The sequence below is a fragment of the Homo sapiens genome, chromosome 3 (genome assembly GCF_000001405.40).
Source record: "Homo sapiens chromosome 3, GRCh38.p14 Primary Assembly".
Taxonomy (NCBI): Eukaryota; Metazoa; Chordata; class Mammalia; order Primates; family Hominidae; genus Homo; species Homo sapiens.
The window spans coordinates 37,949,447-37,975,618 of record NC_000003.12 but is presented as its reverse complement, the minus strand read 5'-3'; the positions used below and the strand labels follow the sequence as shown (position 1 = coordinate 37,975,618).

General features: G+C 44.0%; 1 protein-coding gene and 1 non-coding gene across 6 annotated transcripts in view, besides 3 other annotated features; both read right to left on the bottom strand.

The window, feature by feature from the left end:
* The window catches only part of CTDSPL (CTD small phosphatase like), a 122,590-nt gene that overhangs the window by 8,851 nt on the left and 87,567 nt on the right, over nucleotides 1-26,172 (bottom strand). For 3 of the 5 annotated variants that reach the window (NM_001008392.2, NM_001438028.1, XM_017005520.2), the window contains exons 3-6: nucleotides 18,476-18,508; nucleotides 10,947-11,048; nucleotides 7,737-7,793; nucleotides 4,120-4,212 (exon numbers count right to left, since the gene is read on the bottom strand). In NM_001008392.2, the coding sequence (NP_001008393.1) occupies nucleotides 4,120-4,212; nucleotides 7,737-7,793; nucleotides 10,947-11,048; nucleotides 18,476-18,508 (285 nt within the window). The remainder of the gene's footprint in view (nucleotides 1-4,119; nucleotides 4,213-7,736; nucleotides 7,794-10,946; nucleotides 11,049-18,475; nucleotides 18,509-26,172) is intronic. The other 2 variants (NM_005808.3, NM_001438653.1) reach the window with 1 other exon arrangement.
* Nucleotides 5,420-5,981: an enhancer, noted in NCBI's record as "H3K27ac-H3K4me1 hESC enhancer chr3:38011129-38011690 (GRCh37/hg19 assembly coordinates)". NCBI's record gives its function as "activates a minimal SCP1, AML or CMV promoter by ChIP-STARR-seq in primed H9 embryonic stem cells {active_cell/tissue: H9 hESC(primed)}" and the evidence as "EXISTENCE:reporter gene assay evidence [ECO:0000049][PMID:30033119]".
* Nucleotides 5,982-6,545: an enhancer, noted in NCBI's record as "H3K27ac-H3K4me1 hESC enhancer chr3:38010565-38011128 (GRCh37/hg19 assembly coordinates)". NCBI's record gives its function as "activates a minimal SCP1, AML or CMV promoter by ChIP-STARR-seq in naive H9 embryonic stem cells {active_cell/tissue: H9 hESC(naive)}" and the evidence as "EXISTENCE:reporter gene assay evidence [ECO:0000049][PMID:30033119]".
* Nucleotides 6,139-6,215, bottom strand: MIR26A1 (microRNA 26a-1). The gene has a single exon (NR_029499.1). It is a non-coding gene; the product is annotated as a microRNA 26a-1 (primary transcript).
* Nucleotides 13,143-13,754: an enhancer, noted in NCBI's record as "OCT4-NANOG hESC enhancer chr3:38003356-38003967 (GRCh37/hg19 assembly coordinates)". NCBI's record gives its function as "activates a minimal SCP1, AML or CMV promoter by ChIP-STARR-seq in naive and primed H9 embryonic stem cells {active_cell/tissue: H9 hESC(naive and primed)}" and the evidence as "EXISTENCE:reporter gene assay evidence [ECO:0000049][PMID:30033119]".

The window sequence follows — 26,172 nt, the reverse complement described above, 5'->3', positions numbered from 1 at the left end:
AAAAATGGATTTAATAATTAGATGTGTCTTAGGATCCTGGTTATTTTCCTCTCCGTGTACATAAGATGGCACTGGATTCTTCCATTTCTCTCACATCCAACCATCAGGAATTGTCAGTTTCATCTCCAAAGATAGCCTGACTCCATTTGCATCTATTTATATTGCCACCACCCTTAGCCTGGGCCTCGAATCTCTGGCCTGGGATGGCTGTGTGAGCCTCGTGAAAAACCTGTCTTTCCCACGGGGCCTCCTTTCTAGCCCATTCACCTAGAAGCTGTCAGAGTGGCCACTGGAAAACATATGTGCCATCATGTCACTCCTCTGCTGAAAACTCTCCACTGTCTACACACCGCACTTGGAGTAAGGCCCACGTTCCTCACTGCTGCGTCCCACATGGCACAGCTGAATGAGCTCCATCTGGAGCCCCTGGAGCCACACTGGCTTTGAGTATGGTCAGGACCTTTGTACCAGTGTTCCCTCTGCATGCATTCTCTCCCCAGCTCTTTGCAGAACATCTGTCTCCTGGTTTTTCAGGTCTTGACTTCCTCTCCCATCCACCTAGAGCCACATCTATCTTCCTTTCTGGGTTGTTTCCCTCACAGAGTGGAGTACTATGTGGGATTGCTTGATTTCCTCTCTCCTTGTCAGGGCCCAGGCCTGAAACATCCCCACCACCACATCCCTAGCACCTCCCAGAGTATCTACCACAAGAGGGGCTCAGTAAACATGAATTTCACCACTGAATGAATGAGCTGGCTCCAATGTGTCTTGAATGGCATGACACTGCCCCCTAGAGGTCCTCTGGGCACTTGGGCCAGACCAGCCCCTGAGTGACAGGATGGTGCCCAGCCGTCCACTCCCATAGATGCCCATCCACTTCCTTGAAGCCCAGGAGCTGGATGGGAGTTTGAGCCCAGCTCACAGTTGCGGATCATCCTGCCTGGCCCTCTCTCATGACCTAGGAAATTTCCCCCAAAGCAGGCTTGGAGAAAGAAATAAAGGGGTTTCTGAGAGAAAATCCTCATAACTGAAGATACCTAAAAGAGTGGGCCATACTGAGTGGCTAGGCCTGGAAGAAACAGGAGCAGTTGCCAAGCCTGACACGAGGCCAGGCCCCTGCACCAAGACCAAGTAAGGGGTACAACCAGGCATCAGCGGGACCCAGTGACTCTGCCAGGGAGGCAGAGAGCACCTGTGGCTGGTGGCGCTGGGAAGGCCAGTAGTGGAGTGCAGAGCAAGTGCCAGCACAGCTGTGGGACGTGGGCTGCAAAGCTGCAAGCAGCAGCTATGATTCCGTGGGAACATCCTCTCCTCTCCAAGGACATCCTGTAGGAGGCAGAGTCCAGGAGCAGCTGTGTTTCCTACTGGCCAAGGGAGGTGAGAGCTCAGGGCACTACAGTCATCTGCTGGTGAGGCTAACCAGGGGCCACGTGGGTGGGTTGTAGGCAACTGAGTCCAGATCAGGGGTATCCCATCTTTCGGCTTCCCTGGGCCACATTGGAAGAAGAATTGTCTTGGGCCACACATAAAATACACTATCACTAACAATAGCTGATGAGCTTTAAAAAAAATCTCCTAACGTTTTAAGAAAGTTTACGAATTTGTGTTGGGCCACGTCTAAAGCTGTCCTGGGCTGCACGCGCCCTGTGGGTCACAGGCTGGACAAGCTTGCTCTAAATGGAAAAAGATGATCTATTTCCTCATAATCATGAACACTTGTGGTAGCACCTATCTTTCAAGAGTGTCTGAGTCTGAGGCCTCCAGGCCTTAGAGAATGAATGTGAAGAATGTAAGCTTCACAAGGGGAGGGACTTTGTCTCTTTTTTTCTTTGCTATATCCCCAGTATTTAGTACTGTGCCTGGCACACAATAGGTACTAAGTAAATATTTGCTGGGTGAATGAAGGAAGGAATGACAATGAAGCAGATACTGAAAGGCTACGACAGTCAGCTTGAGGTTCCTGCGGGCTCCTGGGCAGCAGGCAAGGAGGTCCACTGCACCACTACTGCTGGCTGGAAGCCGAGTCCAGAGCCAAGGACAGGGGCATGACCACCCATCAGCAGGACATGTACCTCAGCGAGGAAAGAGGGTGGAAGGCTGCACGTGGGAGCTGATTCGGCTCAGCAAGGCTGGAGTAGCAGCAAGAGAAGGGTTGAAGAGACAGATGGTGGGGCAGGTGGGAGCCATCCAGGAAGAGTAACCGAACAAGGATGTTTAAGCAAATGCTGGGGACAATGCCAAGGAAGAGTGTTCTCAATTTTCCCAAACAAAAAACAGCTCTCACTTCACTGCTATTGGTGCAATCTTCTTGTTTATTTCTTTGGTTATTACTTCAGGCCCTTCAGCATCCCAGAGCACTGTTGGAAGAGCCACTGATGCTACAGATAACAATTAATCTTGGTACCACTCATCTGAAAGATTACCCACTGGGGAAGACTCTATTTTCCCTGAGGCCTTGTTCTCTTTTTGAAATGCAAAAATAAGGACGAGGATTTTGAATCCCACTCCACTGGTTCATGCTCTAAGGCCTGGTGATAAGTCTGGCAGCATTTGTGCAAGTGGGGCTCTCCCGCCCCTCAATCATCACAGAGATGGACCCAACCAGCAATGGCCAGGCCAGCAAAGCAGTGGAACATGCAGAGGAAGAGAAGGGAGTATGGGCATCAGGGCACCGTCCAGAAGCAGGACATGGCGGAGGAAGCTACTGTGTGATGTCCTGGAGACAGGCAAATGGTTAACCTGGGCCCCAGAAAACTCATCTTTGGGACCACTCAGGGTCCCTGAGATGCCCATGGAGACAACTGTGGTGCTACCAACAAATGGATGGTGTCAGCCCCATCAGAGTCAGAGTTTGGGAAATGGTCAAGGCAAAGATCTCCTGGGAGAAGCAAGGCCTACCCTGCCTGCCCCACACAGCACAGGCACCCTGCCACACCTGTGAAGGGGGAGACTAAACCATACTGGGAGGCTTGGGAACCTGCTAGTTTCCTTAAACAGTGGAGAGGACAAAGAAACCATTCTATTTGATCAGAGCCAGTGTAGATTTTAGGTCAGATTCATATCAAGCTTTAGGATCAAGATATGTCTGAATGATTTTATCATCACCAATAAATATATGTATATATATTTTTGAGACGGAGTCACTGTCGCCCAGGGTGGAGTGCAGTGGCATGATCTTGGCTCACTGCAACCTCTGCCTTCTGGGTTCAAGCAATTCTCGTGCCTCAGCCTCCCGAGTAGCTGGGATTACAGATGCCCGCCACCATGCCCAGTTAATTTTTGTATTTTGAGACGGGATTTCACCATGTTGGCCAGGTTGGTCTTGAACTCCTGACCTCAGGTGATACGCCCTCCTTGGCCTCCCAAAGTGTTGGGATTACAGGCATGAGCAACCGCGCCCGGCCTATCATCATCAACAAATAATTGTAACACAAAATAATGAACATCAGGAGTGCTTATCATGTGACAATGCCCAGCACAGTATGTGGAACACAGCAAGTGCTCAATGAATACTTGCTGTATGTGAGCCAGACACTGTGCTAAGTCCTTTACATATGTTATTTCATGTGATCTAGCCACAAGGTAGCTGGAATTATCCCCAATTTATAGAAGAAACTGACATGAGAAGTGAAGTAACTTGCCTCAGATCATACAGCTCATTAGGGCAGTTGGAACTCTCATTCAGCCCAAGCATGTGGGTGAGTGTCCAACACTTATCTCTCACTTGCTTCTCCCTCAAATCTGTGAAAGCAAAACCCAAGGACACAGGGGCCTCTAGCAGTTGGCTGACAGTCAATGGTTGAGGGGTACACCATCCTTTGTCCATTACACTGGACCTGTTTGTGATTCTCTGGACTGTGGACACCCAGCTTCAGGTGGCTGCACACAGCAACTTCATGGAGCATTTGTTCTAAGTGCTCCCTGTCACCATGGTAACCCAGAAGGCTTTCAGACTGGCACCATGCACATGGCCTGCATCCATCCCATCTGGGGTGGGAACCTGTCACCATAGAAATGGCTTCCCCCACCAAAACAAAGGGCTGCTTGACAGATTGGGGGTAGGGGTGGAGGGGCTGGGAGTACCAGGCTGGGAGTGTGGGGCTGGGAAGCAGGACTCACCTTGGCCAAGCTGGCAGTAAAGAGCACACATTCAAAAAGCTGCCCCATCCTCTGGAGGAACTCGTCCACATGTGGCCGCTTCAGCACATACACCTGCAATGGCAGGAGACAGCAGGCTGGTCAGATGTGGCAGTTGCTGGGGATGGCCTGGGGCCCAAATGCCCACTGTAGGAAGAATTGCTACAAAGGTTCCTGCCTCCCTCCCCCAGGTCTATGCATAGCAGGCAGAGGCCTAGACTGTATGAGGGGCTATGGAGTCAGACGTGGCACTCCTCAGACAGGGCTCCAGGTCTGAGTTCACTGCAGACGCCCCTCCTAAGGGAAAAAGAGAAGCTGACCATGGTGTGAGGGTCTTGGGGATATTCAGGGCCAGCAAATGGAAGGGTTGTACCATGTTTGTGTGTAATGACTCATTCATTTCACGTGTGTTTCTTGGCACCTGCTGAGGGTCAGGACCTGTGTGGGCACGGGCCACGGTCTGGGTGTTGTCCTTTCAGAGGTCCAGGCCCAGCATATTGCCCAGCAGGTCTGGGATTGCTCCGGCTGCCACCTTCTGTTCTGGATGGACATCCCCCTTACTAGGAAGGTCTGGGGTTGAAGCACAGGCCCAGCAAAGCTGCAAGAAGGGGCTTCCTTGTCAGCTTGGGAAGCTGTCTATGACACCATAAAGGGTGGGCTTGGTATGTTTCAGGGGATGTGAAACCATCGCTATTCCTGGACCCCAGACATAATCCATCAGGAGGGGTCTCTGAGCAGAGGGGTGCAAAGAGTAGCCTTTTCTAGAATGGCTGGGCTCTGTGCACCCTTTTGACCAGGCCAGGCCAGGGGGTAGCAGTGAGGAGGCCAGGCTTCAGACCATACATAGGTTCTTGATTAGGGAGCCTGAATGAATCTGGGGAAACAAGGGAGATGGGAGAGAAGGCAAAGCTGGTGAGAGAAGACAGAGGAAGTGGGAGGAGGGAAGAACTAATTCAAACTTGAATAAATTCCGTTTGAAATTAGCCACTTCACTAAAATAAATCAAACTCTTTAAAATTCAATTCAGCATGTTTACTGAGCCTCAGCTCTGAGCTCAGCCTGATGTAGTTGCAAAGATGAATAAAACACAGGCCTTGCCCTTGAAGAGCTCATACTCTAGAACAGACATAGGCAAAAACATATAAAAATAAACATGGCATAATGAAAGTTGTAGTAGAGGGATAAATTAAGGACAATTAACTCCCCTCACAAGGGGAGGGGATCATAGAAGATAACATTTGGCCTGGACCTTGAAGGAGTTCACCAGGCCAATAAGGTTGAGAAGAAGTGGGCTTTCAGGCAGAGGAAACAGTAGAGGGTGAGACCCGAGGCCTGAGAATACTTGAGAAGCTAGAGAGTAGCCAGGCTGTGTGCCCAGCCATCAGAGGTAGTGAGAGAAGCCGGAGCAGCAGGGTCTGGGAGAGGAAGTGGCTGAAGATGAAGTGAGAGGCAGGTCACAGTGGGCACATTAGGGCCTTGAATGGCAGATGGAGCAGGTGAGAATGGCAGGAGGAGCAGCAGAGGGGAGATGAGGGCTCTGCACCACATGCTGGGTGTGCTGCTGGCCGAGGAATTCTATACAGAACCAAGTCATTTTCAAGGTGCCAGAAGCAGGAGCTCAGGAGGGCCAGGACTCAGTGGGAAATTCATGGGTGACTGAAAGAAGGAGGTGGACATGGATTTGTGGCTGAGGGTGGAGCGAGGGGCTGGAGGAACAGGATGTCGTAGCACGGGTGCCAACACAGCTCTGAGGAGCTGGGAGGCTGGGGTAGGGCTGAGGGCAGGGCCTGTGGCTGCAACAGCTGCAGACTCCCACTTTGCCCACAAGACTCCTCGTTGCCAGCAAACGGGTGTGGCCTGTAGTCCTCAGTCACCCTGGGAGTCCTGCTTGGAAAGCAAGCTTTGCTACATGCAAAGGGCAGGAGACTGATTTGTGAACTCTGGTGTTGGTGCCTCTGGCAGAGAGGGGGGTCCTGAGCCCGGATGCCGGCGTCCAGGCCCGCGTCCCCGTGCAAGTAACCAAGAATAGGCCCATTGGGACCTGCACAGCCTATCCTGGATTACTTGAACGAGGCCACGGCCTTCGCCAGGGCCTTGGTCCTCCTGCTCTTGGCTCCTGTGGCTTCATTCCCTCGGGAGAGAATTTCTGACCCCAGCCCTGGGACCTTGTGATATCACAGCACAGCCAGGATGGAGGGTGGGGGAGCTCCTGCAAGAATGGGTCAGCAGTGGGCAGGCCAGTCATGCTTACAGTCACGTGGTACAAAGGATTAATTTCTCTCCTAATTCTTGCTATGCCATTGGGCAGCCTCTCCTTTGTCTCATCATGAGCACTATGTAACACAAGCCAAGATGATAAATGCAGAAGCCTTAACTGCTTCTCAGATGCTGAGTTAATTCAGTTGATGCTTTTGCAAATGTTAAATGCCCAAGTGCCTGCCGTTTTGGCTCTGTGATGGCTTTTAAAAGCATGAAGTGTGGAAACACTAGGAAAAAAGCTGCCTCTCCCCGGGACTGTTTCCTGGCAGGATGTCCTGGAGAATAAGCAAGAAAGCAAGGACATGGGAGGGAAGGGACTTGCGTATCAGGAAAAGAGCCCTGGGCCAGGAGGCAGGAGACTGGAATTTTCATTTTAATTCTTCCCATCGTATGACCTTTAACCAACCCCTTCCCTGGCGGAGCCTCAGTTTCTCCATCTAGACAATGAGGCAGCTGGACCAGCTGATTCCCAAGCTTTCTCCAGTTCTGACACCTTGCACTCAAGAACCAAAGACTACTGACATTGCTAAGAAAAGACATCCCGTTGTGGCTCAAGTACCAGGAAAGTCTCCTTCCTGGGATATCAGGCCAGATACGCTCCCTTTAAGACCTTGGACTTGACAAGGAAGATGGTTAGATCATCCCTGTGGAAAATCTGACAAAAGCCCCCCAGCTTCAACCTCTAAAGCTAGTTTTCCTACAACATTCCCAATTTGTTCATAAATGAAGTTATTTCCGGAAGAGCTTTATGCAGATAAGGAAAAAAAATCAGAAGCAACGAAGACGCATGCCAACTGACTACGGCATCTTTATTCATAGCAGCCTGCGGATCCGAAAACTCACACCCTTCCCCCTTTTTCTTTTGGGGTGGGTATTTGCTAAAGATTCTCTGGAGAAAACGATGCAGGAATGATAAGATCAGTCTGGAGCAGCTGGCATTGAAAATGGACACTTTTTCCCGAGAGTCCACCATAAGTGGGTGACTTGTGGCATTTTCCTGTTGCCTGCTAGGAGAGTAGCCGAAAGCAATTACACAAGGAAGTTAATTAGACCATCAAGCTAGGCCAGTGGGGGATACGGAAACTTCTGAAATTCAAATCAAAGAACTATTTGAACTTGCAACCGCATCTAATATTTACGACTATAGTTTCCTTATAATCTCAGTATAAAATAAATTCATTGGAGTGAAAAAAAGAAAAACATTGTATTTATTACAGTATGCTTCCTTTTGATTCCGTAATAAAGTTATTACTGAAATGAGAATTTAGAAATAAAGTTCATAGGAAATGTAAGTACTAAAAAATCTTAATTGAAACTCAAATTTAGCTTCAGTTTCTTACCTGATGTATAGTTCCATCGATTTCAACCGGAACAATAAAATCAGCATTACTAATAGGCTAGAGAAAAAAGAGACTATAATTAATATGTCTGAAGGAACAAAAAAACTCTGGAAATTTTAGCAAGAAAAAAGCCTGCCTAGACCAATGTTTTGGTTATTGGAAAAAACAGTTCAGGAGGAGGATGATGAAGCATGCCTTGGTTCCTTAAAATAAGCACAAGCAGGAAAGCACATTATTTTCCACTGTGAATGTCATTACATTTTCAGCATCTTGGTCCAATATCACCTGCCTGGCCTCAACCAAAAAGTGTGGCACTGCCTGGCTAGAGGATGGGGCTCCTGAAAACTCCAGCTCTTGCCCAGAGTCTTGCTGGGGTGATGGGGAATCACTGCTAGCCACCAGGGGGAGGAGCTGAGCATGTAATGGGCTCCGAGGACAGTGCTGCTTGAGGGAAAACTATTTGTACTTGGACCCACAACTGGCGGCTGCCCTGCGATGGGCTGCTCAGCAGGAGAAGATGGCCACACGGACTCAAAACAGTAACAAGGCCATGTGGGGGTAAAGTCAGAGGCCGCAGGCCACACCCTTGGGCAGGCTCTTCCTCTCCTTGGACCTCAGTTTCTCCTCTCTTCCTTAGCTATTGTGATGGGTCTGATGCATGCCCATGGCCCCAGTCCAGTACTGAGAATCAGTGATTTCAGGCCCTCCCAGGTAGCCTGGCACCAGCTCCTGCCTTGGGTGGGGGTACAGAGCCAGCCCACCCTATGCCTGCTCCGCTCCAAGGAACACAACATCCAGCACACCCACAAACTTCTGGATATTTTAAATAACTCTTTGACAATATTAATGACATTTAAAATTCAAATATGATTCTTCAGCAGTCATTACGTTCTCAATGATGAACTTACACACAGTTCTCAATGGAATTCCACAAATTAGGTACAAAACTACTTAAATGAACAGGCCCAACTGAATCATCAGCCTGCAAACCCCTGGACAAGAGAAGAGAGACAGAAGGAAGGAGAAGGTGTGTGTGGTGGCCTCTGGGCAGGGGTAGGGGTACAGCATCTGGTCAGACTCTGAACCGAAGTCTGCTTTTAAGCCCATCACAGTACACACAAACCCTCTTTGTTGATATATAAACTAAAAAACAAAAAACAAAAAACAAAACAAAAAAACATGGACAATGCTAGGTCATAGCACCGTTACTAAGCACTTAGCTTATGATCACTGTTTATTTACTCCCAGAGTTGGAAGGCCAAGGATGAGTTTAATATCATATAATTGCACAACTAAAATCAGAATCATGCTAAAAAACAAAAGGAAAGACTGAAGGAAGAGACTCTCCCAAGGCATTAGATTATGGAATCACATTCCACGGAGTATATTAAAAAGAGAAAAACCATTCCCCAGCTTACAGCAAGCACCACCCTTACTCTCCTCTCTCCTGCTGGTATAAAGGAGACTCTGCTACAGCTAGGGTTCTTCACTTGGGATCCATGAACCTATGCATTGTACAAATGTACATTTTCGAAGGGAAGAGGGTTCACAGCTTTCAGATTCTCAAAGGACTTTGAAATGCCCAGAACTTTAAAAACCATAAAGAATATTCTGGTTGCAAATGTAGGCAGGCCAGGGGAGGGAAGAAATGAGGAAACACCATTCACATTAGCTTGTGGCATCAATGCTCTCCGAGCAGGTGCTAGAGACACTGGGGGCTACCAGGGCCTTGCCTTTGGAGCCAGGAATCCTCAGTAACATCAGGTGATCTGGCCAGTGTTGCCTACACTCCCACAGTTGCTTGGGAGGGAGTTCTCTATGCTGTGATGGCAACCGACCCCTGCTCTGAAGGGCTTTCCTTCACAGAGACTTGGAAAAGTCCTGAGCAACTTGCCCATGGGGGAGAAATGGCTTCCAATGCTATCTAGGGTTAAGCTGGGACACAAAGTCACCATATCCCCTGGACCAACTATGGAAGGGGCTGGTCCTCAAGTGCTAGGGAATGAGGTGGTCCCTGCATGCCCCAGTAGCCAGAACAAGGCAATTTCTCACTGCTAGAGGTCAGTGTGGTCTCTTCTCCACTCTTCAAAGGACTCAAAGACAATTTTCTGGCTTTGTCCTACCAGAAAGGTCTCTGTTTAGTGAGAAGAACAAAGAAGGATGTTTCTGGTAGAAAGGTGTTTGGGCACATTTGACAGCTCTTCTGCTTCCTACAACTTGTAAGGAATGACTATGGTTCATGTGAGACACATGCCCCATCATGGATGGTGACCTTCATGTCTCTCAGTGAAGGGGAGTCCCAGGCTGGTGGGGGAAAGAGGAATGCAGTACAATGATAGAGCAGTCCCATTACCAGAAATAATCCAAGGAAAACAAGACCAGAATCCTAAATACCTGCTTCTTCTCCCCAAAACACCAATCTCCTATTTCCAAACTTTTCATCATTTGCCTCTTTTATACAATTTATTTCACGTCAAAAAAAAATGGTTAACTAACTCATTTCTTAACAGTGTCGCCACAGCTCTTCCTGCATGGAGGCCGTTTCTGCTGTTTTTCCAGCAGGAAGATGGAGATCAGGGAAGGTGACAGGAAGGAAGAGTGTCTGACCTCCACACCCTTCAGGAGGGAAGTCCTGAAGGTGGGTACTCATTTAGCTGTGAAGCTTGCAAAAAACCCCAGCCACTTCTTGTCATGAAGATGCTCAAATTAAATGGCTGAATCTGTTCAGATGCCCTGAAGTCTGGAAGTCTTCTTCAGAGTTGGACATCTTTCAAAAATCAATCTGGGAAAATCTCCATGATACCAGGTCATTTGACAGTTTCCAACAGAGACTCCCCTCCCCCTCCCAATAAAACACATAGCACTCTGGTCATCTTGACAAATATAAACAGTATCCTGGGGGCACTGAGTGCCTTGTGCCACCTGAAAAGTATTTCTGCAGCGGTTACAGCATTGGAAAATGCAAACCTCCTAAGAATGAGGTCCCAGTGATGTTGGTAGCTTAGTGTTTTCTTTCCAAACTAATTATGTTAATATTCAACTACTTTAGTTAATGTTCACCTGGGTTAATAAGCAGCTCCTGGGATTTCTACATGAAGAGTGAAGTCACACACTAACCACCATAAGCTTTCATCCTTTTTGTTTTCCCTTTTCCAATACAATTGTTATCAAATCACAAAGATCATGGATTTTTTTTTTATGTTGATTTACCTTAAACGAACTGTGCACCAATGTTTCATCTAAATCAATGACCACACATTTCTTTCCATAGTCAAGCACCGTCACCTCTGGAAGAAGGTACTTAGCTGGTGGCTAAAGGGGAAAAATAAATCAGTATTACATTTATGTAAAAGACAAACCAATCAGTATTGCATTATACTACTTTCAAACATTTAAATGCCTGGTCAAGCGTATAATGGGCTTTTATTAAGAACAATAGGAATAAGTAGTTTGCAACTAAAGTTTTATCAAATACGGTGCCACGATCTGAATGACTGCTATGAAGTCCTAGGCTTTGGAACCAGACAAACCTGGTTTCAATCATCAGCTCTGTCACTTTCTTGGTTGTAAATTGGGATAGTAATACCTACCATGAAAGGTTGTTGTTATCAGTTATAATGGCAATAAAATGCCCAGCATTTTGCCTCACACATATATTGGTGGCTACAGTTATTATTAAAATGGATTACACAAGAATGAGTATTTAATTATAATAGGTACTGTCACAATGGAGGTCTGTTTCGTGGGGTCATATTTTGCCTGAAATTCACTGTGGCACATAAGTAGATATTAGAGCTATGTTGGAACTACAGATTTTTTTTTTTTTTTTTTTTTTTTTTTTTTTTTTTTTAGTGACTGAGATTTTTAAAAAACTTGAAGACAAACTATAGGCCCACCAGCATAATGCAGTCCAGAGTTACCCCCAACACTAGGAAACAGAAATAAGACCAATCCAGGTACAGTGCCACCTTGTGCCACCGCACTGTGGTAGAATACTGAGCAAATGTGGTATTTTTACCCCTTGGATTCTCTGCCTCTGAAAGTTATACTTTAATCCACATGTTGTGTGTTGACCAAACAATCTATTTATGTGTCTTAGTAGCAGGTGACTCAAATCTCGTGATAAAGAAGTCATAAAGAGTTAATAAAATGCTGGGTATCTTCAGCCAACCATAAAATGCTAGGTATCTCTGGCCAACCTCACTCGATTTAGAGGATTTATTTCTTTAGGCCTTGCCTCATTCTAGAAATGATCTGAAGTATTTTAGTCTACTTTGTGGCATATTCAATATCCAGAGTTAACTAATTAATTTTCTGACCTGCAAAGAAGGTCAAACTCTCTTTAATATTTGATACAAAACAAAAGGAAATATCTATTCTGAGCCCCTGAAGAATGGACAATTTAGTTCATCAAATAAAACAAGAAAAAAATGAAATCAAGCTGTATTTCCTTTTACGTGGCTCTTTCCTCTTTTTATTTTTTTGGTTCAAACTGAAAGTCAGTGATCAAAAGTTAATTTTGAACTCTAGCTGGTTCAATAGTAAATGTAACACAGGCAGTCAACAGGTTAGGTAAATTTGCAAGTACAATGATCACCTTGGCAGACAGAGACTGTCCAGGGTTGCCCAGGAAGAGGCTACGTGTGGAGACATAAGCATTTCTAACTCCATGTTTCTTCCTTTCCAACGTCATCCAGAAGAAAGAGCCTTTATGGCCTCCCATCTCTTTCAGCTGGAAGCAATCCTCCCTAATCCTGCAGCACTGTGACGGGATGTGGGGATGTGCCTTGGAGACAGGCACGAAATTCGAGGATCTAGAAAGGACTCTGTCCTCCATTACAAACCAGTGAGTCAGCAGGTTATTTTTAAAAAATTAAATTTGCAAAAAGTTTTCTATCAAAAGGTGTTTTTAAAAAGGCAGAGTGTGATGAGCTAAGTGAACATAGTAGAGAGAATGTGGGTCATTTTTGTTGTCTGGGACAGAGCAGAAAGCATGCTTGTGACCAGAATAAAATTTGTTTGAATTTTTATTACACAACTATTTAATATAAAACACATTCTCATTGTAAAGATTATAGACCTATGAGAGTAAAACACAATCATTCTCTTTTCTATGTCTCCCTTTTGACATTAGTGTCTATCCAGTCCTTTTCCTATGCGTTTATAAACTACTAAAATGTTTTAACTTATTAATTTAATTGTTAGCCTGGAAAATAAGGATCTAGAAATTCTAACCCTAGCATCTCTGAAAACATCAAAGATCTGCCAAAAGTGGTTCATTTTCCAAACCCAAGAATAAAGATTACTTTCTTAGCACAGTTAACCCACACTTTACAAGCATTCTTTAACAGTAAGTAAAACCCCTCATGGTGCAATCTAAGAGAGAAAAGTTAACAGTAAGTAAAACCCCTCATGGTACGATCTAAGAGAGAAAAGATGGAGAAGGGTGAGACTCATATTAAGCAAGCAATTGATTTTAATTTGTGCTGCAGGGAACAAGGCCAAGTTGGGAGGCAACAGGCTAGGAGGTTCCATTAATCCTCTGCTGTTTCCTAAATGCACACAGCTTCCCTGAGAGCTTGGCTTTAGATTAATGCAAATTCTTCAGCCCATGGGTAAGAATTCTTTGGGACAGCTGCATCCTTGGAAATGTAAGGATGCTATATAATGACAATACACAGTGCTTTGTTACTTCAATTGATCTGTTCAGGTGATGCTTGAATCATTAACTAAGAAATGTCCTGCACCAAGTTTTCTCTGAAGTCTTCATAAAGCTGAAGAACAAGAGAAATACCAGTCACATCAAGAAAGGTCTTTCTTATACAAAATGACTTGCTCAAATGTACACAAAGAGCATTGCCGGGGGGTGGGTGGAGGAGGAAGGGACCACGGCTTGCCATCCACGGTTTGGGAATGGTATTCATTCCTGTTCCTTTCCTGGGAGTAAATCTGAAATTTCCTGTCCTTGGCAGAGAACTGGCAGCCATGAATAGTTAACACTAAGCTTATTTCCTCTTGGAGTGCCCATCCCACAAACTCTCATAAATCTTACAGATGTAGTACCTCTTCCTGGTACATTGGATTATTGTTTCCTTACTTAAGATTTCTCAGGCTTAAGGTCTGCACGCTGTGCTCCTCAAGCCCTCAGAGCTCCAGGTGGATGTCAGGGCCTAACGCAGGAGGGGAGCAAGAGGAACTCTAGACTGCTTTTAATTAGAATAGCTGTCCTGCTTGTATGTTCTTCATAATGTTTTCGTGGAAAGAAGTGTACTATTGCTGTATTAAAAGCCTTAGGCAAATAGCATAGAAACATAGCTGTTAGAAAACAAATCCTCTCCCCTTTCAGCATTTTTATGGCTCGGTTACACTGCCAGCCTCATGTTTGTGAGCATCTGTGTGCTGTGTAATTTAAGCAAAAGTATGGGATCGGTAGGACTCAGGACACAGCCTCAGTGGCGTTCCTCACTGGGGCCAAGGCATTCGAGTGCTCACCTCAATTCATGACCACCCATACTTCAGCAGTTTCAAACTTTCGTTCCCTCTGCATCTTTTCCTAATACTTCAATACCCGACGTTCACCAAACAGCCCATGAAGCTTCCCACTAAGGAAGGCCCTAAATCCTGGCTCATAGTTGGGAGATGAACGATACTAATGGTAAGGATAAAGATGTCATTTCCAATAGGCGTGCAAAACATGATTACTCAATAAATGGTGCTGGGACAACTGAGTAGCCACTTGGAAAAAAGGATAGCTTCCTACTTCATGCCTTACACCAACATACATTCCAAATGGATCAAAGATTTAAAGGTATAATGGTGAAACTATTAAAAACTATTAAAATACTAGAAGAAAATATAAAATCAAGGAGCATAAAGGATGATATTAATATTTACTTATATAAAACTAAAACTTCCTTGTGGCCAAAATAATTATAAACAAAAAAGGCCAAAAGATATATCATACATTTGGGGAAAAGTATTAATTTCCTTAAAATTTAAAACGACAAGCAACACAGCATAAAAAACTACAGGAAATGAATAGAGAAGAAGAAAGCCAATGAACTTGTGAAAAGCTGTTCAAACTCATTGATAAAGAAATGCAAATCAAAGTAATAAACTGATACCAATCTTTGTTTTGTTTTGTTTTGTTTGTGAGACAGGGTCTGGCTCTGTAGCCCAGGCTGGAGTGCAGTGGTGCCATCCTGGCTCACTGCAACCTCCGCCTCCCGGGTTCACGTGATTCTCCTGCCTCAGCCTCCCGAGTTAGCTGGGATTAAAGGCATGCACCACCACACCCAGCTAATTGTGTGTGTGTGTGTGTGTGTGTGTGTGTGTGTGTGTGTGTGTATATATATATATATATATATATATATATATTTTTTTTTTTTTTTTTTTTTTTTTTGAGACAGAGTTTTGCTCTTGTTGCCCAGGCTGGAGTGCAATGGCATGATCTCAGCACACCGCAACCTCCACCTCCCGGGTTCAAGTGATTCTCCTGCCTCAGCCTCCTGAGTAGCTGGGATTACTGGCATGTGCCACCATACCCGGCTAATTTTGTATTTTTAGTAGAAATGGGGTTTCTCCAAGTTGGTCAGGCTGGTCTTGAACTCCCGACCTCAGGTGATCTGCCCACCTCAGCCTCCCAAAATGCTGGGATTCCAGGCGTGAGCTACCACGCCCAGCCTAATTTTGTATTTTCAGTAGAGATGGGGTTTCTCCATGTTGGTCAGGCTGGTCTGGAACTCCTGATCTCAGGTGATCCGCCCACCTCGGCCTCAGTGGGATTACAGGTGTGAGCCACCGCACCCGGCCACCATGCCCAGTTAATTTTGTGTATATTTTATAGAGATGGGGTTTCACCATGTTGCCCAGGCTGGTCGCGAACTTCTGAGCTGAAGCCATCTGCCCTCCTCGGCCTCTCCAAGTGCTTGGGTTATAGGTGTGAGCCACTGCGCCTGGCCTGATACTATTCTTTATTTTCAGATTAGCAAAGATTGAAACATTTGATTATCATTTTCAGTAAGGGTATGAGGCACTCTCATAGATAATTCATGAGAATGTAAATTAGCATAAGCTTTTGGAGGATAATTTGGTTTTAATGTACCAATACTGTAAAATATATCCTTTGACCTAGCATTTCCACAAATAGAAACTGATCACAAAGAACTATCACACAAGTCCATAAGCACACAGAAAAGAGGATATTTTTAAGAGAAATATTTGTAATAGCACAGAAGTGGAAACAAAGTAAATGCCATCAATGAAATATAAAACAATGAGGCAGATATATACCTACTAATATTTGGAAAGATGTTCAAGGCATCTTGTTAGAAAGTAACAAGCAATTTGCAGAATGGTGAATACAACACAATTTCATTTATATAAATATGTTTGTGTTTGTCTGGAAAACTTCTGGAAGGATAAATGACATATATTAAAAAGTGGTACTGCCTAGAAGGCAGTAGGATTACATTGAGAGATATTTTCTCTTTGCTTTAATCTTTCAACTTCACGTACGTGTGTATGTATGTATTCCCACAGGTGTTAATCCCAAATCCGTCAATATTTAAAAATTAACCATGAGCTTGAATTACTGTTTAGTAAAAAATTAAAAGACCAAACCTACACATACAAACAGAGCAACATGCGAATGAAAAAAGAGGGGTGAGGTGACAGGCACAGATAGGGACCCCAGATGCAGCTGCTCTGGTCACCACAGGCTTAGAGGATTCTTTACCTTCAGGGCCTGAAGAAAGCTTTCAGGAGGTTGTGGGATCTGGTTTGGAGACTCAGCACAAGCCCAGATTTCTGCTCCTATGTATGGCACCCTAAGCTCTCAGGGCTCCCAGCACTCACCAGGTCCCCCTGAGGTCCAGAAAGGCCAGAACCACGCTGCTTATGCAACCTGGCGCCTTTTCAGGTAGGTGCAGATTTTGCAGGGGCTCCCAAGACTTGATTCCAGAGCTGAGCTGGCCCGGATGGACTGGGATCAGTCCTATATGCTAAGCAGTCAGTGGAAATCACACTGTGCTCACTAGTGGAAATGCTTTTCTGGAGGTCATCATTCAAAAGTGCAAGTTCCTTTAGCTTGGCTGTTTCTTTGGGCAAGATAGTTCATAGGTTCACATGGCCTGACCCAACATCTCACATGTAGGACACAGTCAGCAGTTTATTGATCTATCAGTAGGATCAATTACATAAGGAATTTTCTTCTTGTTTATCTTATTCCAGAATTCTATACATGGCTGAATCTACATTTGTGGGAAAAGGGTCCGTTTCTTCAGTGGGGTTTTTATACTGACAAGTGCTTTTGTTCTGCACTTAACTTTGCACGTGGCTGCCAATTAGCTTTAAGAAAAAACAGTAATAGTGATATTGAAGGTGGAAGGAGAGATGCTACCTGCCATCATTTAATGTAGGTACCTCTGCAGGAAAAAAATATGTCAAAAACTACTTTATATAAAGGTTAAAGAGTCTTCTGGTATTAACTCTGCTGAGCATCTTCCTCAAACTCTGGATAAAAAGTTGTGCTGCCAGGTCAATCTTTTTGATCAAAGCCAGTTTTCTCAACAAAACCCAACCCTCAGGCACATGGGCAAAGTCAGAATCACTACACAGACTCTTGCAACGCATTAGTCAATGAAGAGTTAGAGTTTTGAGAAAAATGAAATTACTGTAAACTTTTTGGGCAATTTGTAAGTGACATGTACTACCAAAGCCTTTGGAGTCAACCTGCACACGTGAAATCCATCTACTCCTTTCTATGTAAGATTGCTGTGTCTATTGTATGTTCCCAGAAAACATGTGAAAAACTCCAAGGAAAGAGAGATGAACACATTTGAATCAAGTAATCTGAATCTGATCATCTTTACAGACTAAAAAATTAATTTATAGACACATTTTGAAACCTAAATCCTTCTCTAAGGACATAAGACTATTTGAAAGGTCTTGTTTGATACAGGCATCTCAACTGTAAATTTCTTTTGGGAGTCGGTCTTCAGTTTACTTCTTACTGACTGGCCTCAGGCTGGGTGGCTCTGCTGGCAGAGCAGGAGGAAGAGAAGGGACAGCCAGGACAGCGGATGGCTGAGGGGTGGCTGGTGCAGGACGGTGCTGGGGTGGAACAAATTTCAGGGATGACAACAGAAGTGGGGGTGGCCTCAGGGAGCGCCCAGCTGGGGCAGAGTGGCAGCACAGCAGGCCTGTGGGATGGGTCCTGCAAGTCCCGAGAATATAGTTACAGTGACTTCTCTGATCTCGGAGCTACAGCCATGCTACCACTGATAAGTTAGAAACAGTCTGGTCACCTGGGACGTGGGCTTGGTGAGCCCAGTTCCACTGGGACTGAATCTGCTGCAAAGAACTGGGTCTGGGCAAAACAATGTTCCCGCCAATCTATGGAGTTGAGGCTAAGATAGTGGGGTGTGGGTGAGGCCTCTGAGCAACCTCAGCTTGTTCAGCTTGGAGGTCCTTCCCAGAGAGAAAGGAAAAATGAGAATTAGGTTAATGGAGCTGGCTGCCCTGCTGTTCCTGAGAAAGGAAACTGTCTCTGTACAGAACTTCCTGCTCACAGTTTAAAATGCAGCTTCAGTTTTCTTTTTAACAGAACAGAGCTGTTTATACCACATGATAAACTCACCATAAGCAATAACATTAAAAAAAATCCTTTATATAAGTAGGCCCAAAGCCACAAGATTTTATGACTGTTTTAATAAATAAAATTAGATAAATATACATACACTTGGTATGGGAATGACCTGCCTCTGGTCACCCTGAGGAAAAAGAAAAAAAAAATCATTGTCAGGTTCGAAGAGAAGATCATATTCTCAAAAGAAACTTCAAAGCCCTCTTGAGCACAGCAGCTGCATGATCTGCCATTCTCTGTACCTTGGTGGTGTTTAATCAACAGGAGGAACCTGAAAATTTTCCACAGTTAAGGCATGAGGCTCCTTCTGTCTCTCAGACACCTGCTCTCCCAACAAGCCAGGCTGGGCTCCTGAGACTCACAAACCATTTTGTGTATTTAAATAGCACCTCCCTTACTCCCAGGAATTCAATCCTTAATTAAAAAACAAAAATAAAAACTCATACTTTAATCCTTGGTTCCCTCTAAAAACTGTTTGTTTTTTCTTTTAAGCAAGTTTTTCCCTAAAAAGACTAAGTCAATATCATACGCAGGGAATGGAAGACATGTTCACCAGATTACAATGACCCCCTGGTCATTCCAGGAGCTCCCCAGGGGAAGACTGGGGAGAGGGGACAAGGCAAGGTACAAGAAGTTCCCTCCCAGGCAACAGACAAGGGGATAGCTTTCCTTTAAGGGAAACACAATCTGTATTCACAGGGAGTGTTAAGAAAACCTAGGCCCCAAGGAAAGGCCTCAAATATTCCTCAGCCCCAAATGCCAGCCATTCCAAACCTAATTGATGGAAACACTTCATTATAGCATTGTTAAGAAATGCTAATAAAAAAGTTTATTTCCACTGAGCATTTCCAGTTTCTGTTTCTTCTTTTTTAGATGGCCTAATAAGGCAATGCACTGCTTCATGCCTTGTACACTGAAGGATTTGTGAAAAGATGTGTCCATTTTTATTAAGAGGGTTACAGTGATAATGAGGTCTCACGTGAAGGGGCCAAACCTGATGGCTCGCAATGGCAGCTGCCTGGCACCTTTCTGAGCTCTGTTTTGACACTAAGAACTATTTAGCAACTTCTTGATTATCTCCAACCCCTAGTCATCACCTCTGCAGCATAAGAGCAAGTATCATTTCCTCTTGAGATGATCTCCACAGTTCCTTCCTTTTTCAGATTTCCGGCTTGTCTTAAGGATTTTAAGCTTCCTTCTGACATCACTCAAGGCAGAGCTATGCTGCTCTCCAACAGACAATGCAATCAAATAAATCAAAGTTTTCAAGAACTTGCACAGATAAATTCATTTCAGAAGCTCTTAAATAATATTATTCCTAATACAGGGACTCAAGAGTAGGTCACTGCCCCTACAGACATACTTGGCGGAGGACATACTTTTAAAAAAACTTTTATTTTAGGTTCAGGGGTACATGTGCAGGTTTGTTATATAGGTAAATCGCATGTCATGGGGGTTTAGTGCACAGATTATTTCATCACCCAGGTAATACGCACTGTACCCAAGAGATAGTCTTTTCATCCTCACCCTCCTTCTAACCTCCACCCTCAAGTAGGCCCCAGTGTCTGTTGTTCCCTTTGTTGTCCATGAGTATTCAGTGTTTAGCTCTCACTTATAAGTGAGAACGTGCGGTATTTGGTTTTCTGTTGCTGCATTAGTTTGCTTAGATTAATGGCCTCCAGCTCCAACCATGTTGCTGCAAATGACATGACTTCTTCTTTTTTACGGCTGCATAGTATTTGGTGGAGGAGATTTTAAGCAGAAGCTCACAGCCTATTTGGGTCTCCTTATTTTTATTTTATTTTACTTTACAGATGGGGTCTTGCTCTGTCACCCAGGTTGGAATGCAGTGGTGTGATCACGGCTCACTGCGGCCTCAAACTCCTGGCTCAAGCCATCCTCCTGCCTCAGCCTCCTGAGTAGCTGGGACTATAGGTGTGTGCTGCCATACCTGGCTGGGTCACTTCAGAGTAGGGTTTCTCAACCTCAGCACTAGTGACATTCTGGGCTGGATAACTCTGTCGTGAGGGATGTCCTATTTGTTGCAGGATGTTTAACAGCATCCCTGGCCTCTACTCACCAGATGCCAGCAGACACTCTCTCCCCGTCTAGTGACAATCAGTCTTCAGCTCTGCTCTAGTAGGAGAGTGCAGACAGCCCCTGCACACAGGTGCACCTTCAGAACACACTTTCGATGAGATGAGCATGTCAACGACGCGCAAGATCACAACAATGCAGCTGAAGGGCCTGAAAAAATGCCCACTATGAGCAAGCAAAGGTGCTGATCTAGAAGGATATTTGGGCTTGAAAATTACCCTAGAAGCTTACATGTATGTATGTGTGTGTATACAGCATGAGGTATGCATATATTTGTGAGTGTCCAGCAATCTGTTTTACGCTGTCCTTGCCCTTAAAGGTCCTCCATGGTCTTTGCCATTGGGGTGCTGACTCCTCCCAGCCCCTGGAGGCTTCTGGTCTGTAGGTCCAGGTTGTGGCTGTGATGGTGGCAATGGCTGCTAACCCAAGCCGCTGCTGCAGAAGCAGCTGGAAACTCAAAGGCTCCAAATCCTCATTTCTCCAGGTCAAAAGTAAATATGCAGGGTGGATGGAACCCTAGAGGTCATCTGTCCCATTCTGTCCATGGCCTTCCTTCTTCCTCTGGCATGCTGAATTCTGAGAGGCATAGATACTTAAGGACTCAGCAGTAGAAATGGGCCTGGAATCTGCTTCCACATCTAATAGGCCTGGGCTTTGTGTTCCAAATGTCCTGAGCAAGCAGGGTGCAAGAGGTAGAGGGTCCTCCTCTGGGAATTCGCTGCCCTACTCTGACAGGGCTCTTTCTTTGGCGTCTGGTCTCCCAGATTGACTAGTCAAGTGTTATGGAAATGACGTATCACCCCACTTTGGATTATTAAATTAACTCAAAGTTAACATAATTCTTTAAAAAGCCATCTTGACAAATGTTAATAGAAGGAAGTTCATGAATGAACAGTAACTCCAAGTGAGCTCAGCTCTGCTGGAGGAACTGCCTCTAAAGGCCTCTATTTCCTGATAGATACGGCTGAGTACTCCAGGAAAGCTTCCAGGGCTGCCATGCCATTTCCTCATATCATTTCATCTACAAAGATACCAAGCTGTCTTCCTTATTTTCTTTCTAAAAATGTCTCGGTTCTTTGACATTTTTTGTCCCAGAAGAACTTAAGCCTTTCTATCCAGAAACAGCACACACATTTCTCATAAACATGAGAAATCAAAATCTGTTATGATTTGAATCAACTTTGGTGGAGTCTTTTGGGTTTTCTATGTAAACAGTCATGTCATCTGCAAATAAGACTAACTTTGTATCTTTTCCATGTTTATACCAATTGTCTCATTTTCTTGGCTTATTCCATTAGCCAGAACCTACCATTGATTTTCCTGTGTTGGTTGCTGTTTATTTTTAGAAGATAGCTTTTTATCGTGTATAGTTTTCTTCTTTGGCAGCATTGTTGATTTTATATATAAAGATTTATGGGCTACTATACAGTTCATGTATTAGACCATTTGTCATAAAGTGCCCCTAATTATCCTGTTTAATGCTTCTGAATTTGAATTCTGCTTTATCTGATATTAACATTGCCACTCTTGCTTTCTGCTTGATCTGCCTTGTATATTTTGCCCATTTCTTTATTTTCTACCTTCCTTTATCTGTATATGTTATGTCAGAAACTGTCACCTACTGTAATTGTCATTAGCACTGTCCACCAAATAATTCCAGTTTTCTTTCTGAATATGTGGATTACATTTCCATTTCCCTTGAACTTAGATGCAGTCATGTGACTTACTTTAGCCAATAAAATGTAAGTTGAAATAAGGCATGTTTTTCTGAGTTTTCTGAGTGAAAACTTTAAGAGCCAATGTGATTTATCACATTTCCTTTGTTCTGCTGTGACAGTCATGGAAGCAAAGAGATGGGGCGTAGGCACGTGAATGAGGATAAGATGGTTATACTGTCCAGTATGGTAGCTACTAGTCACATGTGGCTACTAAGCACACAAAATGTGGCTGGTCCAAATTAAGATGTGCTGTAAGTATAAAATACACATCAGATTTTGAAGGATTAGTAAGATAAAAAGAATATAAATTGTCTCACTAATATTTTTTCTATTGATTACATATTGAGATAATATTTTGGATATAGTGATTAAATAAAATGTTATTAAAATTAATTTCACTTGTTTTAAAAATATTTTCATTAATGTGGCTACTGGAAAAAATTAAATGATACATGTGACTCGCATTATATTTCTGTTGGATAGTGCCACAGAACAAAAGGCTCAGCCTCAGCCAACCCATTATAAAGAAGTAGCATGAGTGAAAAATAGACTTTTATTGTTTAAACCTCTGAGGTTTTGAGGTTGTTACTGAAGCATAAACAAACCCATACTGACTAGTGTATCTACTTATGAGTCATTCCTCCCTTGTCCTGATTTTGTTGAGAGCAGGAATATGCTGGGCTAAATTCCTCCCCTGTTGCTATTGGATAGCCATGTGACAAATGGCTATACCCAATTGGTTTGACTAAGTCAACTGTATGCTATTTCCAAGAATATACCTGTCATCAGATAGAAATGATTTTGGCAGTAAGTAAAAGAAATCTGCCAGGCACTGTGTCAGGCCAATAAGACATAAGCAGAAGTCTCCTGGGTTTTTCTGTGAAAGCATTTACTTTCCATAAAAGGGACTGACATGGCCAGTGCCACCCCTTCCTATCTTCTTCCTTTAAATGTGGAAACAATATCTGAAGCTTGCGACTTTGAGATCATAAATAGCAAGCATGAGGATGAAGGCAAACATACCAAGGATAGGGGAGCAGAAAGACAGAAGAACAGATTCTTGATGGCATCATCAGAAATCCAAATCCCACCAACTACCTGACTCAGGCTTTTTATGTGAGAAAAATAATCCCCTATTTGTCTAAGCTATTATTTGTCAGCTTTCTTCCTTTTCTTTTCTTTCTTTCTCACTTTCTCTCTCTCTCTCCTTTCATTCCTTCTTTCTGTTTCTTTTTTTCTTTCTTTCAAGACAGGATCTTGCTCTAGCACCCAGGCTGGAGGGCAGTGGAGTGATTAAGGCTCACTGCAGCCTCAACCTCCAGGCCTCAAGTGATCCTCCTGCCTCAGCCTGTCAAAGTGCAGGGATTATAGACATTAGCCACCGTGCCCAGCAGTTTTCTTTTACTTACTGACAAAATCATTCCTATTTGATGACAGGTATATTCTTGGAAATATCATACAGCTGAATTTGTCAAACCAATCTGATGTAGTCTTGGTCTTTGTTGGAAGAATCTAGTTCATCAAACTAGGTTTTATGACTATTATTTATGTTATGTTTGCTATTTATTATCTGTTATTTGTTCTTTTTCCCTTTCCTTAATTTTGATGGCTTGTTCAATTTGTTTACTTCTCCTTTACTCCCTCTGTGAATTTTAAAGATCTATTTTCTAATTGTGCCACTTGTTACAGTTCTATTATTAGTTCTATTCCTAATAATAATATTTATTTCTACATTGCTTTTTGAGACAGGATCTTGCTCTGTCACCCAGGCTGGAGGGGAGTGGTGCGATCATGGCCCACTGCAGCCTCGACCTCCTGGGTTCAAGCAATCCTCCCACTTCAGTCTCCAGAGTAGCTGGACTATAAATGCACACCTCCACACCTAGCTGATTTTTTATTTTTATTTTTTGTAGAGATGGGGGTTTCCCTATGTTGCCCAGGCTGGTCTCAAACTTCTGGGCTGAAGTGATCCTCCTGCCTTAGCCTCCCAAAGTGCTGGGATTACAGGAATGAGTCACTGCACCCAGCCTATTTCTAACATTTTTCTTTTTTTTTGAGACTGAGTCTTGCTCTTTCGCCCAGGCTGGAGTGCAGTGTGGCGATCTCGGCTCAATGCAAGCTCCACCTCCTGGGTTCACACCATTCTCCTGCCTCAGCCTCCCAAGTAGCTGGGACTACAGGTGCCCGCCACCATGCCCAGCTAATTTTTTGTATTTTTTAGTAGAGACGGAGTTTCACTGTGTTAGCCAGGATGGTCTCGATCTCCTGACCTCGTGATCTGCCCACCTCGGCCTCCCAAAGTGCTGGGATTACGGGAATGAGCCATTGCACCCAGCCCATTTCTAACATTTTTAATAATTGTATCATAACTGAATATCAATCTCACCCAGATTTTTATTTTTTGTTCCCTCTCTGAATCATTACATATCTAAGAAACTTTTATCTCAATAGATAAATGATATCTTGGTCACATACAGAATTTTTGCTTTCCATTTTTTTCTCTCAGTAGCCTATAAACATTTTTTCATAGTCTTCTGGCTTTTAGTGTTGCTGATGAGAAGTCTGATACTAATATAATTGTTTTCCTTGAAAATAACTTATTCTAGTAGCTTGTAAGACTTTCTCTTTGTCCTTAAACTTCAGAATTTCAACAGATACATCTAGGCATGTGCTCCTCTACTAATCCTGCTGTCGACTTGGTAAGCTCCTTCAATCCACAGATTCAAGCTTTGTTTTCAGCTCAAGAAAATTTTCTTCTACTACTTTTTCTCTTTCTAGAACTCTTAACATTTGCATGTTCCATCTCCTAGATGCCTGCTGTTCTCTCTCACAATTACCATCTCTGTGTTTCTGGTCTGAATTGTAAGATATTTCTTCTTCCACTTGCTTTTCCAGAACATGAATTCAGTTCCCAGCAGTGACCATTCTCCTGTTTACTGAATTTTTATATTTAGAAATCATGAGTTTTTAAGTTCCAAATGTTACTTTTGTACTTATACTTCATTTCCTGAGTTGTCCGTTACAGTTCTCTTCCATCTCTTCCATTAGTTTTACCTCAGTGGGAGTCTCATTACAGTTTTTCCAACTTGGACTTTCTCAGTGGAGGCTGCATTTTTCTTTGCTTGCACCAGGTTGTGTGTTCCCTTAGTGTCTGTGCAGGTCAGTCTATGAGGCTCTCTGGGAAGTGGCAAATGAGGGAGTACTGCAAGGCCCAGCAAGGAGTGCTGTTTTCATGGCCCAGCAGAGCCCAAGTTAACAAACCTCAGAGACTAAGAAAGCCCCTATACTACTGGCTCCTCCAAGGCACAAGCACTGGAAGCAATCCAGCTCACCAGGGCAGCCCCTCCAAGGACCACACACATTGTGTGGGCAGTGCGAGCTCTTTCCAAGGCGATCCGCCAGCTCCTTCTGGCTAGTTGACCTCATGGGACTATACATTCGAGTGTTTGTCCAAGGACTCAGGGACACGTAAGCATTTTCCTCTGTTGGCGGTTCCCTGCTTCTTACTGAGTACCAGAGAGAATAAATCCTGTGCCTGCTCTCTACCCTGAAGGTGTCAGGAAAACTGGGGGCCTTAATGCACTTTCCAGGCTCCACCAGCAGGCCCACCTGGGTTTATCCTGGGAGGGAATTTTAATAGAGCCATCTGCTCAGGCTGTCATCTTCCCAGAATTCCCTTCTATACATCCACATGTGGTTTTAAAATAATTTTTTAAATCATAAAAGTAATTTAAGCTGATTTTATGAAAACTGAGGGAAGTACAGAGGGAAGGAGAAAATCCTAGCTATAATTCCACCAGTGTGAGCAATAGGAGATAACCTCTTCATATTTCGGCATCCATCCTTCTAGTCTTATAAATGCTTGTATGTGTATGTGTGTGAGAGAACAAGAGAGACACTCTATCCATTTCTTTATATCAGCAATATTTACGACATATCATTTTGAAGGGCTGTATGCTATTTGATTGCATATTTA